Genomic DNA, 13,552 nt, shown 5'->3' with positions numbered 1-13,552 from the left:
CCAGCTACTTGGAAGGCTGAGGCAGGAGAATCACTTGAACCTGGGAGGCTGTGGTTGCAGTGAGCTGAGATCGTGCCACTGCACTCCAGCCTTGGCGACAGAGCAAGACTCCATCTCAGACCAAAAAAAAAAAAAAAAAATTGGTGGCCTCCCTGGGCATGGTGCCTCTCATCTGTAATCCCAGCACTTTGGGAGGACTGCTTAGCCCAGGAGTCTGAGACCAGCCTGGGTAATATAATGAGCCCCATCTGTAAAAAATAACAACAACAACCTAAAGCCAGGCATGGTGGCACACACCTGTGGTCCCAGCTACTCAGGAGGCTAAGGTGGGAGGATCACTTGAGCCTAGGGGGTCCAGGCTATAGTGAGCTATGATCCTGCCACTGCACTCTAGCCTGGGCAACAGAACAAGACCCCCTCTCTAAAAAAAAAAAGAAAAAAAAAGGTGGCCTGACAGTGGCCGTCATATTGCTCATGTTGAATTGCTTCAGAATATCCAGCCAATACTTGTTATTATTTTTGTTGTTGTTGAGATGGAATCTCGCTCTTTCACTCAGGCTGGAGTGAAGTGGCGCGATCTCGGCTCACTGCAACCTCCACCTCCCTGGGTTGAAACAATTCTCCTGCCTCAGCCTCCCTGAGTAGCTGGGATTACAGGCACCTCCACCATGCCCAGCTAATTTTTTGTATTTTTAGTAGAGATGGGGTTTTGCAATATTGGCCAGGCTGGTCTTGAACTCCTGACCTCAGGTGATCCACCTGCCTCGGCCTCCCAAAGTGCTAGGATTACCGGCATGAGGCACCGCGCCCGGCCTATCTAATACAATTCTTAGAACAATGGGGACTTAGAAAATCCTTTTCATATTAATGGAAGTGATAATGTTGTTAGAGTAGGAAGTGGTACATACCTGAAATGATGCTAAATAAAGTAAAATATACATAAATATAAATCATCCATGGGTCCATAGACCCGGGGCAACTTAGCTGGCATAGGCCCTGTGAGTGATAAGGTCTGGTTGGGAGCCATCTCAAACAGTAAGATTTACTATATGTGATAGGATCGGGATTGAGGGGCACTTAACCAGTACAACCACTGTGTGCTGTGGGGCCAAGGCCAAGGAGATGATCCACATGGTAAAGAGGTTGTTTACATATGAGGAGATTGAGCAAATAAGTAAATATCTTGAAGATAGTGGGAATCAGGTTATTAATTTTTGGAGGTACAGATATGAAAAAGGGAAAACTAGAAAAGCTCAGTGGCATTGGATTAGAATTGGTGTAAATTTATAGTTTTATATCAATATCTATCTGTATTGGTTTTCTATTGCTGATGTAACAAATTACCACAAACTTGGTAGCTTAAAACAACACACATTTATTAGCTCACAGTAGGTCAGAAGTCCAAGAGGGCTCAGCTGGGTTCTAGGCACAGGGCATCACAAGGCCCAAATCAAGGTATCAGTCAGGCTGGCCTTTGTCTGGGGTCTCTAGGAAAGAATCTGCCTTCAAAGCCATTGTTGGCGGAATTTAGTTCCCTGCATTTGTAGGACTGAGGTTTCTGTTATCTTGTTGTCTTCAGCTCTGAGACCACCTGTATTCCTCATCACATTTCTCTAATCCCATCGTCTAGCCAGCAACAGGACATCAAACTTTCTTACGCTGCAAATCTAACTGACTTCCCTTCTGCTCCCAGCTGGCGGAAACTCTGTGCTTTTAAAAGATTCACCTGAATTGACCAGGGTTACCTGAATAATCTCATCTTATGGTCAAATGATTTGGGACTGTAATCACACCTGCAAAAATCCCTTCACTACAGTACCTAATTTAATGTTTGATTGAATAACCAGGAGACAAGAATCTCAGGAAATCCGCTTTTAGAATTCTGTCTACCATACTATCTATACTTTGTCAGTGGGTTAATAGATATCTATATGGATAGATACAGAAATAGAGACATATGTACACATGTATACATACACATATTTCCTACATGTGTCTTCTGAAAGGGCCTAGAAGCAATGACACTCTAGTAAAAAGCAGTATACTTTGCACCCAAATCTTGGTTTCTAAATACCACTCCCCACTAAAAGGAAACATGTCTCCTTTTTGAAATGGGTATTTTCATGGCTGAGGCAGGAAAAGTACAAGAGAAATCTGGAACATCTTATACCAGAAAGCAAAAGAAGCACTCAAAGAATGATAAGGATGTGTCAAAAGGATGCAGGGGGCTGGGCACGGTGGCTTACGCCTGTAATCTTAGCACTTTGGGAGACTGGGTGGGAAGATTTGTCTGAGCCCAGGAGTTTGAGACCAGCCTGGGCAAAATGGCGAGACCCCATCTCTATATTTAAAAAATTAAAAAAAAAAAAAAAAAAAAAAGGATACAGGGGCCAGCATGAAACGGCTTTCACTGTTCAAATGTGACAATCAAAGTAATGATAGTAATGAATTATAACCTATTGCATAAAATAAATATCCACCAGTGCTTATTTGTATAAATGAATACCAAAGGGAAAAGGGAAAGCTCTTCCTTACAGCTGAATGCAGGCTAATAAGTAGAGAAGGAATGATGGAGTCAGAAATTACTATTTCACAATCATAAATGATTCAGGCAGAAAACATCAATGGATGCTAAAACCAGTGGGTAAAAGTTTGATGAGGACCAGGATATTTGCATAGCCTCAAAGTATCTCCTTGAAAATTGCATATCAACTGTTTATTAATTATTCAATAACCACACTGTAGAGAAACCCAGCATGTTCCATCATAACCAAGTGATAATAGTCAGCACTACCAATAATGGGACAAACTGACATACTATGTTTCCCAACATGATGCACTGAGAAAAGCACAGCATCTTCTGTGGTAGTCCTGTCCAAATACAGAGCCTTATTGGAATCTTAAGGAAACATCAGACAAACCCATATTAAAGGACATTGCAAAGTTATGAGTCTGTACTCTTCAAAAAATATCAAAATTATTCAAGACAAGGAAAAACTTGAGAACAGTTCCAGCTTGAAAGAGAAGAGATAGGACAACTAAATGGTCTTAGATTGGATCCTAGATCATGAAGAAAGAATGCAACATGGAAGAAATTTGCTTTTGGTTTGTTTTGTTATGAATAATTTACTGGAACGATTGGCAAAATTTGAATGGAATCTGTGTCTTTGATGGTAATAGGCATCCATGTTAATTTCTTGATTCTTATGGGTATACTGTGGTTATGTAGGAGAGTGTCCTGATTTTTAGAAAATACACACTGAAGTAGGCCAGGTGTGATGGTTTGCGCCTGTAATCCCAGCACTTTGGGAGGCTGAGGCAGGCGGATCCCTTGAGTCCAGGAGTTTGAGACAAGCCTGGGCAACATAGTGAGATTCCTTTTGTATTTTCTCTACTAAAAATACAAAAAATTAGCTGAGCGGGAGGCTGAGGCAAAAGAATTGCTTGAGCCCATGGGGTGGGGGTTGCAGTGAGCCGAGATCATGCCACTGCATTCCAGCCTGCACAACTCAGTGAGATTCTGTCCAAAAAAAAAAAAAAAAAAAAAAAAAGGAAAATACACAGTGAAGTATTTAGGAGTAATGGGGCAATGTGATTACAAATTACACTCAAATGTTTCAGCAAAAAAAAGTTTTAAAAACCCTCTGTGTGTTGAATTGTGCCTTCCCAAAAGAAATGTTGAAAACCTGTGAAAACCTACCCCTGGTACCTGTGAATGTGATGTCATTTGGAAATGGGGCCTGTGCAGATGTAATCAAGTTAAGATGGGGTCATACTGGATTAGGGTGAACTTGTGTCCTTGAAAGGAGAGGGAGATTTGAAGATACACAGATACATGGGGAATAAAGCCACATGATGGTAGAGGCAGAGATGGCTGTGAGGCAGCTGCAAGCCAAGGAATGCCAAAATATTTCTGACAAACATCCGCAGCGGAAAGACAAGCATGGAACAGATTCTCCCTCATATCCTCCTGGAAGGAAGGAACCAACCCTGCAAACACCTTGATTTTGAACTTCTAGCCTCCAGAACTGTGAGAGAATAAATTTCTGTTGTTCTAAGCCACCCAGTTTGTAGTACTTGGCTATGGCAGCCCTAAGAAACTAATACTATAACTGAGAACCCTGGCTTTAAGGATTTTTCCCCCTTTTCCTTCTGCTGCCCTTTGTATTAACTTTTTAGTGATAAAATAATAATTACTCTCCTTCTTTCCACCATAAGCTTGCCTTGCTAGCTTATCTAGTTACGTATGCTTAGAAGTTCCAGAGACCGGCCAGGCGTGGTGGCTCACGTCTGTAATCCCAGCACTTTGGGAGGTTGAGGCAGGCGGATCGCTTCACGAGGTCAGGAGATCAAGACCATCCTGGCCAACACAGTGAAACCCTGTCTCTACTAAAAACACAAAAATTAGCTGGGCATGGTGGCACACGCCTATAATTCCAGCTACTCAGGAGGCTAAGGCAGGAGAATCGATTGAACCCGGGAGGCGGAGGTTGTAGTGAGCCGAGATCGCTCCATTGCACTCCAGCCTGGGCAATGGAGCGAGACTCCATCTCAAATTTAAAAAAAAAAAAAAGAAGAAGAAGTTCCAGAGACCGGGTCTTGAGACAATCAGGTGCCTGTGGACTTCTCCCCCACAGGAGATTACCTCAAGGCTGCAGGTAACTGACAACCTGGACAAGCCTGAGATGGTGACAGCCCATTCACCAGTTGGGGCAATAACACAAGTCACTGGAACAGGTCATGTAGACCTGTACTGCCTCACCACCTCCCCACTTCTTAAACCCTAGCATTTTGCCTGAGAATTTTAAAGTGGTTTTCTTAAGGCAGGAGCCTGAACCACTTCCCCACTGCTAGCTTCAAACAATGAAGTCACCTTGTTTGTACTGCACTTCGTCCTTGTTGTTGGATTTTGCAAGCAGCCAGTGGCTAAACCTGCATTTGGTCACAATATCAATCCTTTGTTTGCTTGCATTAACATCAGCTTCTTAGGTATGCAATTTTCTGAACTTGAAAATTCTAAAAAGTCATCTGAAAGAGATTTATAATAATGTATTCCTATTGTAGGGAAACTTCCCCTTTGCCCTCTAAAGGTTCACTAAAAATTCAACTCACAAAAGGCAGAGTAATTCAAGAAAAGGCACAGGAATTTTTTAAGCTGTACATAGGGAGAACCACAAAGTGATTACTCATCCCCCAACAGGGATTCAGAAGTTCATACACCGTGTTGGCAAAACAAGTTATGGGAGGGGGAAAAAGAGGAATTCTGTTGAGGGGATTACCAGGGAGAAGGAATGGATCAGGGAACAGAGATTACATCGTTTTGTGAAAGGGTTTATTCAGGTTTGGTTGTATCTTGGTCTTACAGGGAGGGGAAAAAAAGAAACAATTGTTCTTTTGGGATGGTCTGGATCTTAGGCAGATAAAGGAACTTCAACTTCATTCTGTGCTTTAGGAGAGACAGTATGCGGTAGTGGGGAAGGTCAGAGAGACCTTGAGGCTTCTTCAGTTCAGCATGTTAAAGCGCCATATTTTGGAGTATGGGCTTCGGAGCCTCAGCACTGTGTATGTATAAAGAATATTTTGGCCGGGCACGGTGGCTCACGCCTGTAATCCTAGCATTTTGGGAGGCCGAGGTGGGTGGATCACGAGGTCAGGAATTCGAGACCAGCCTGACCAACATGGTGAAACCCTGTCTCTACTAAAAATACAAAAATTAGCCGGGCATGGTGGCACACACCTGTAATCCCAGCTACTCAGGAGGCTGAGACGGGAGAATCACTTGAACCTTGGAGGTGGAGGTTGCAGTGAGCTGAGATGGCTCCACAGCACCCCAGCCTGGGCGACAGAGCAAGACTCCGTCTCAAAAAAAAAAAGAATATTTTGTCATTTTTCTCTGCATGTATCTTTCATCCATATACCTATGGGAGCCTTGTGTATGATGTTACTATATATTTTAATTCTCACTTTTTTGCTGGATAGTGTCTCCTTTAAAATGCCCAATATGATAAAATAGAGAGTTAGCTAGTAAAGAGAACATTAGAGAGTTTAATGAGTTAGATTTGAAGCCTGCTTTTGGAACTAACATAACATAGGTGAAAATGCTTAAAAATGGCTGACACATAGCAGTAGCCCAATAAATACGTACGTAAATATGTGTGCGCATATTAATTACTGTACAATATGTAAATATGTGTGTGCATATTAATTATTGCACAATAATTCTGAGCTGCTTGTGTCATCTTTAAAAACTGAAAAACTAACATTCTTCACAGGTTATATCAGGATAAATAATGTAATAAATGTAAAATTTCTTTTTGATCTTTAAACTCTCTTGGGAACATTCACATTATCTCTAAAAATGGTACCATCTCACTAATGCATGCTACAATACTATCTGCAAGTGCAGATTATCCAGCATGCCATTGTTAACTTGTTAGATACTAACTATAAAAAGCACTTTATAATTTTTCATGTGGAATAATCACATTTGTCCCTGAGATCATGTAAAAGCAAATAGCAGAGGCTTTACAGAAAAGGAAAATGAATTTAAGAAGAGTTGAGTAATTTGCTCAAGGTCATGTAGCTTTTAAGAAGAAAAGACAATACAGAGAACATTCTTGTTTAACATTCCTAAAATACCAGTGTCAGTCATCTCCTTAGAACACAGTTTAGGATTCTAGCCAGAATTAAACATTTGGTTTGAAGCACAGGTTGTTGATAGTACCCAAGAGCTAATCCACCTATTACTATTTACAACAGGATACTTTTGATTGCTACATTTATTTTCCCAGTGAGTTTAAAACTCAACCTTAGCATTCTATAACCCAGCAGCACGTTTTTCTTGGATTATATACACCCTAAAAAGGAAGAACAGCCTGATGATCCCAGTCCTTTTGCCTCAGAAAACACATTGCTATCAAACAACTAAGAAATAGAAAACATTGTTTTCATTTGGGTCTCAACTTTGTTTTTATGGCCAGATTCTGTGTGAATATGCGAGGTTTTGGGACAAAGTCTGCTGGATTGTCTTAACCTAAATTAAACACCAAATCTAATGCTGACATAGTACAAACTGTACCACTTTTCTAGCATTTTGCTTGTCCTCTCTACATTGAGTCATGTTAAGTTATTGAAAGCAAAAGAAACTTAGGGTGATATAGGTTTGCTCTTCAAAATACTTTTATCTTTCACAATTCTGTGCCACGAAACCTACCTGTCTCATCAACATGATGTCCCTGTACTGTAGCCACAAGAACAGCGTGACCTTTTTGGGGTCAACTGAGTGGGGTTCAGATGGAGCTATACTCTGGCAAACAAACATAGAAATATGTTTGAAGGAACTCTGAAAGCACTATTCAAACAGTTAAAAATGTCTTATATCAATAAACAATTTGTGGCTGGGCATGGTGGCTCACACCTCTAATCCTAGCACTTTGGAAGGCCGAGGTGGGTGGATCACCTGACGTCAGAAGTTCAAGACCAGCCTGGCCAACATGGTGAAACCCCAGCTCTACTAAAAATACAGAAATTAGCTGGGCGTGGCGGCAGGTGCCTGTAATCCCAGCTACTCGGGAGGCTGAGTCAGGAGAATTCCTTGAACCCGGGAGGCAGAGGTTGAGGTGAACCAGGATCGCGCCATTGTACTCCAGCCTGGGTGACAAGAGTGAAACTCTGTCTCAAAAGAAAAACTAAAAATAAAAATAAAGAATTTGTATATGCTTACCTATTCTACGTTCTTCTGAAAAGTGCTAAATTCACTCACATTGCCTATGTTTGGATACACTCTGTGTCCATGCTTTGTGATCCTTCCCTTACAAACCAGTAGATGATTCTTCTGCTGTACTGCACACCACCTACTGTGGTACAAACCAAACAAAAAAGCCCAAATTGTTATTCTGTTTCCACACATCCTTGGGGTCTTGGCCTAATGTTCTGAGAAATACCTGCTTAGCAACAACTTAAAATATATGTTTAATGCTTCTCCCTATACTTTTTTTTTTTTGGAGACGGAGTTTCACTCTTGTCGCCCAGGCTGGAGTGCAGTGGTGTGATCTCGGCTCACTGCAGCCTCTGCCTCCCAGGTTCAAGCGATTCTCCTGCCTCAGCCTCCCAAGTAGCTGGGATTACAGGTGCCCTCCACCACACCAGGCAAATTTCTGTATTTTTAGTAGAGACGGGGTTTTGCCATGTTGGGCAGGCTGGTCTCGAACTCCTGACCTCAGGTGATCCACCCTCCTCGGCCTCCCAAAATGCTGGGATTACAGGTGTGAGCCACTGTGCCCAGTTATTTTGTCTATTTTTAGCCTCCTGAGCAGTCATGCTGTCATAGTTTAGTCACTTCTAACATCTTTCTGAACAAAAAGCAAACTAGGAGCTGGTTGTAAAGGTGCTGATAATGATGACTTATTAACTGTAGCGTTCTTTAGCTACCGTGGTGGTTTTCAACCTTGGCTGTACCTCAGAATCCCTTGGGAACATTTTAAACTCCCAGAGTCTAGGCTGCACCCCAGACCAATTAAATCGGAATCCTGGGGTGGGACCCAATCCTCAGTGATGCTTAAAGCCTGCCAGTTGATTCCAAAGTATAGCCAACATTGAGAACCACTGATCTGGAAGACAAATAACTGATTTTCCAGCTGCTAGTCAACAGCATTTCCCCCTTGTCCATGACAATATTCTTGATTGGACTTCAGATTTAGAGGTTTAGATATGTCTGTCTGTTCTTACACTGTTAGTGTTGACCCTATACCACTGGAACACTGGCCCAGCTCACTAACCTGGAAACCATGCACTCTTATTAACTAAACTTCTGAAAGTGGAGTGAGCAGGGAGAGAATTCTAGTTCTCGTTTGATAGTGTTACAGTTGCTCCTACAATTTACAGCTGTGGACAAGTCCACCCAAACTCTTTTTGATCTAAACTCACTACTGTGTAATCTCATTTAATCACTTGGCTTTGGATATACTCTATGTGACAATGAGTTCCAAACTCTTATCTTCAATCCGGGCATTTTCCCTGAATTCCACACTTGCACTTCAATAACTTACTCCACTTGGATATTTAGCAGGCTTTCAAAACAACAAGTCCAAACATGAACTCATGACTATACCCTGGCTCACCACAGCTATCAGAAATGCCTCTCACAGCCTTCCCCAACTTAGCTGATGAAAACTCCATCCTGCCAGCGATTGAAATTCCAAACCTTGATATCATCCTTGACTCTTTCTCTACACCTGACATCCAATCTGTTCTTGTTCATCTTACTTTTAAAATCTTGTTCATTGTACTTTATAAATATATCCAGAATCTCACCACTTCTCACCACCTCTGCTGCACCATGCTGGCCCAAGCCACCATCATTTTTCATCTGAATTATTGCAACAGCCTCCCAACCAGTCTCCCTGCTTCCACCCTTGCCTTTTGTCATAGTCAACTTGGGCTGACATAACAAAACACCATAGATTGAGTGGCTTAAACAACTAAAAATTATTTTCTGACATATCTAGAAACTTTAAGTCCAACATCAAGGTGTTAGCAGGGTCAATGTCTGGTGAGGACTCTCCCCTGGGGTTGCAGAAGGCCTCCTTCTCACTATCCTTATACAGCCTTTCCTCTGTTCACATGGAAAGAGAGAGATCTGTCTCTCTTCCTGTTCTTATAAGACCACTAATCTTATCATGAGGGCCCCACCCTCATGACCTCATCTAAACCTAATTACCTCACAAGGGCCCTACCTCTATATACCATCGCAATGGGGGTTAGGGTTCAACACATGAATTTAGGGAGGACACAAACCTTCAATCTATAACATTTTGCTTCAGTCTGTTTTCAGTATACCAGCCCGAGTGATCACGTTAAAACATATAACACCATGTTGTTCCTTTCCACAAAATCTTTCAAACATTTCCCGTTTCATGCAGAATAAATGCCAAAGGCTTTACTATGACTTAAATGACACTATACTGTATGGCCCACATGTTATGTTATATTATATTTCTGTCCTCATTTCCTCCTGCTCTCTCCCTCTGCTCACATTGGCCTTTTTGTGGTTTATCAAACACAGCCACTCTCCCACCCCAGGGTCTTTGACTTCTTTTCCCTCTGCTCACAGCTGATATGCAGCTGGGGCTCCACCTGAGGCCCTGATGAATGTTTATGATCTGTCTCAGTGTTTATTTTTTGGGCACCTATTCTGTTTTGTCAGTGCCCGTGGCATACTGGTTGATAAACACTTTGACTATAAACATGATTTTACCCAAAATACTCTTCCTGTGCTCACACATTCTTTACACCCCTACTCAGAGGCCACATTAATATTTCCCCTGGCCACTCTATCTAAAATTTCATACACCACGTCCCATTCTCTTTTCTTATTTTGAGATGGGATCTTGCTCTCTCACCCAGGCTGGAGTGCAGTGCCATGATCTCTGCTCACTGAAGCCTCGACCTCCTGAGCTCAAGCAATCCTCCTGCCTCAGCCTCCCAAGTCCCAAGCTGAGACCACCAGGACATGCCACCACATCTGGCTGATTTTGGTATTTTTTGTAGGGAAGAGATCTCAGCATATTGCCCAGGCTGGTCTCAAACTCCTGCCCTCAGATGATCCACCCACCTTGGTCTCCCAAAGTGCTGGGATTACATGTGTGAGTCACCACACCCACCCCTGTTCTCTTTTCACTTTAATTTCCTCTCCTCAATTCTTGTTTTAGTTATCTATTGCTTATAACAAATTATCCTGACATATAGTGGCTTAAAACAACATTAAATAGTTATTTTCTCAAATAATTTCTAAGAGTCAGAAATTCAGGAGCAGCTTAGCCGCATGTTTCTGCCTCAGGTTGCAGTCAAGATGTCAACTAGAATTGTAGTCAACTTAATGGAGGCTGAAGGTTACACCAGATAGTCCTGTTCAATGTTGGAGGAAACAAACAGCATAAGGATATAAATGCCTGAAGGCAAGAGCCATTGGAGGCCACTTTGGAGGCTAGCTACTACAGTATGCCTACATCTAGTTAAGACCACATTTCTTAGTTTCTCTTGTGACTGGGTTTGGCCATGCAACTAAATTTTGGCCAGTGAAACGTAAATAAAAGCATTGTATGCAATCTTTAAGTTGTACCCTTAAAGGGAATGAACTTGCCCTCCAGTATCCTTTTCCCCCTTCTCACTGGCTACATTGTGTATGTGTTGGATGCAAGTAAGAGCAACACGGTAGAGAAGGCAGAGTGGAGCAAATGGGGAAGTCTAGATCCTTGACTCCATTAAGTCCTCATCCTAGCCCCTGGCCTGCATATGCCCGGACTGGCATCTAAGAGCAAACTTCCATGTATTTAAACTGTAGTTATTTTCATTCTCTACAACTGCAGCTGAGCCTAAAGTTTAACTAATGTAAGTTATGTAAGTGAGATGAGTTAGACGGAAGTCCAACGACACATGGGGACGGCCTGAGGAAGTAAGATAATGGCCAACTAGTACTTACAGAATAACAAACATATAACTCCTCATATGTAGTATTATATTATAGGAATATACTGCAATTTATTCCTCTATGATTGATAGGCATTTGAGTAGTTTCTAGTTTTACACTTCAATGAATAATGCTGATATGAACATTTTCATATAAGACTTTTGGTGAATACATGTACACAGTTGTGTTGGACATCTGGGAATGGAATTGCTTGGATATAAAAATGTTCAGCCTTAGATGATTCTGCTAAACTGTTTTCTAAAAAGGTTGTATTGATTTACAAGTCCACTAGCAGAGTTGTTTTAGTTGTTTCACCTCTTTGCCCAAAACAGTCTTTCTCTTTCATTTTAACCATTTTGTTGAGTGTATAGAGATATCTCATTATGGTTATAGTTTGCATTTCCTCTGTGACAAATGAAGTTCCTTTTTATATATTTGTTAGCCATTTGGATATTTGTGTGTGTGCGTGTAAAGTGCTTGTTCAAGTATTTTGCCCTGCTCACTTTGTTTTTTCAGAGCTTAAATAATAATGATCACAACATTTATTGAATATACTATGTTGGATACATGATATGAAGCATTTCATACTTACCTAATGTATACAACAACACTATTCAGTAGGTCATGTAAATATTATTCCTATTTCACAGGAGAAGAAACTGAGGCCCTGAGATGTTCAGTAATTTGCCCAAAGTCACACAGTTGTACGTAGTAGAGCCAAAATCTAAACACAGGACTATTTGACAAAACCAGAAGCTTGAACAGCAAGCTCTTCATTGTGAAGCAAGTTCACTAATCGCTGACCCTGAGTGAGAACCTCCACTGCATGGAGAATAGCAAAGTTCACTATGCCATACATCAGAAACAGGAGTCGATATATTTATGCCCACTGCATCCTGGGCTACTATTTAGGTCCACGATATACTGGTTAGGTACTTGTCTGAGTTTAATGAGACAGAACACACTCACACACAAGTTACATGAAACTGGTTTACTACTTACAGATGGTAAGGAACAGAAGATGTCTCAGATCCATTGTGAACAAGTCCCCAAGGCTCAAGAAAGCTGCCCAGGGAGGATGCAGTCTTGACTGTGCATGCCCCACTTGCAGCACAGCTGAGGGACCCCGAAAAGCAGTCTGCCCTGGGTTATGCACTTGAGGCCATGTCACTGGGCAAAGCTTTGAAGGACATCCTGCTTCTAGGGGACAGAGGAACAAAGCCTGGGCTGTCCCAGGCAGTCCCTCTCTAACTCAAGATGTTACATTCCTTAGGAGGGACAGAAACAAGGCCTGGGTTATTTCAGGCCGTTTCTTTCTATCTCAGGATACAACATTCCCAGCACATTCTGTTGACAACCATGCGCAAGAAATGAGGGAGAACTGGATTGGTCCATGGCCACCTGGAGAAGTGTCCTGCATTGATGGATAACACAGGGACTACTCACTTTCTTCAGACTGCCTGTAACCTCATTACTTTAACCATTCTCATCACTCTCTCTTGGTCAAGGACTGTCTTACTGGTAATTCAAGGAGAGGAGCCATATATTTAGGTAGGTGCAAAAGTAAATGTGGTTTTTGCCATTATTTTTAATGATAAAAACTGCAATTATTTTTGCACCAACCTAATAATTGGTGGGCTACTGTGGACTATACTGAAAAGTCTGGAACTCTAACCCATGTGATGTGCCTGTGGAGAATCCCAGCCCTATATCCCAGTCCTGGAAACATGAAAGGTCATGGAAATTCCTAATATGACTCCTTTTCTAAGTCAAGTCAAACAGGAGAACCCAAGGCCTTATCCCCGGAAATGAAACTCTTGTTAGCTACCAGAAGATATCAGGATGGAACATTGTCACAAAATGTCTATGGAATGCCCAGTGTCTCCTAGTTATGACAACAGAGTTCCAGCTTCACTGGAAACTGTATTCTGTGCCAGGCATTTCTATATTGGTAAGTAAAACTATAAACGCTACTTTATTTCTATTCTGAAAGGGATTTCAAGATAAAACACACTCGCCGGGCGCAGTGGCTCATGCCTGTAATCCCAGCACTTTGAGAGGCCAAGGCGGGCGGATCACCTGAGG

The 13,552-nt window shown here is 41.9% G+C and overlaps 1 long non-coding RNA gene across 1 annotated transcript; it reads right to left on the bottom strand.

Annotated features, from left to right (window-relative positions):
• Positions 1–4,952: 4,952 nt before the first annotated feature.
• LOC105370179 (uncharacterized) lies at positions 4,953–9,411 on the bottom strand. Its single transcript, XR_941913.2, has 4 exons — positions 9,313–9,411; positions 7,763–7,856; positions 7,214–7,306; positions 4,953–5,028 (listed from the first exon to the last, which is right to left on the bottom strand). It is a non-coding gene; the product is annotated as an uncharacterized LOC105370179 (long non-coding RNA).
• Positions 9,412–13,552: the final 4,141 nt, after the last annotated feature.

Source organism: Homo sapiens, chromosome 13 (genome assembly GCF_000001405.40).
Source record: "Homo sapiens chromosome 13, GRCh38.p14 Primary Assembly".
Classification (NCBI taxonomy): Eukaryota; Metazoa; Chordata; class Mammalia; order Primates; family Hominidae; genus Homo; species Homo sapiens.
The sequence above is the reverse complement of the archived record's forward strand: the minus strand, read 5'-3'. Positions and strand labels throughout refer to the sequence as shown.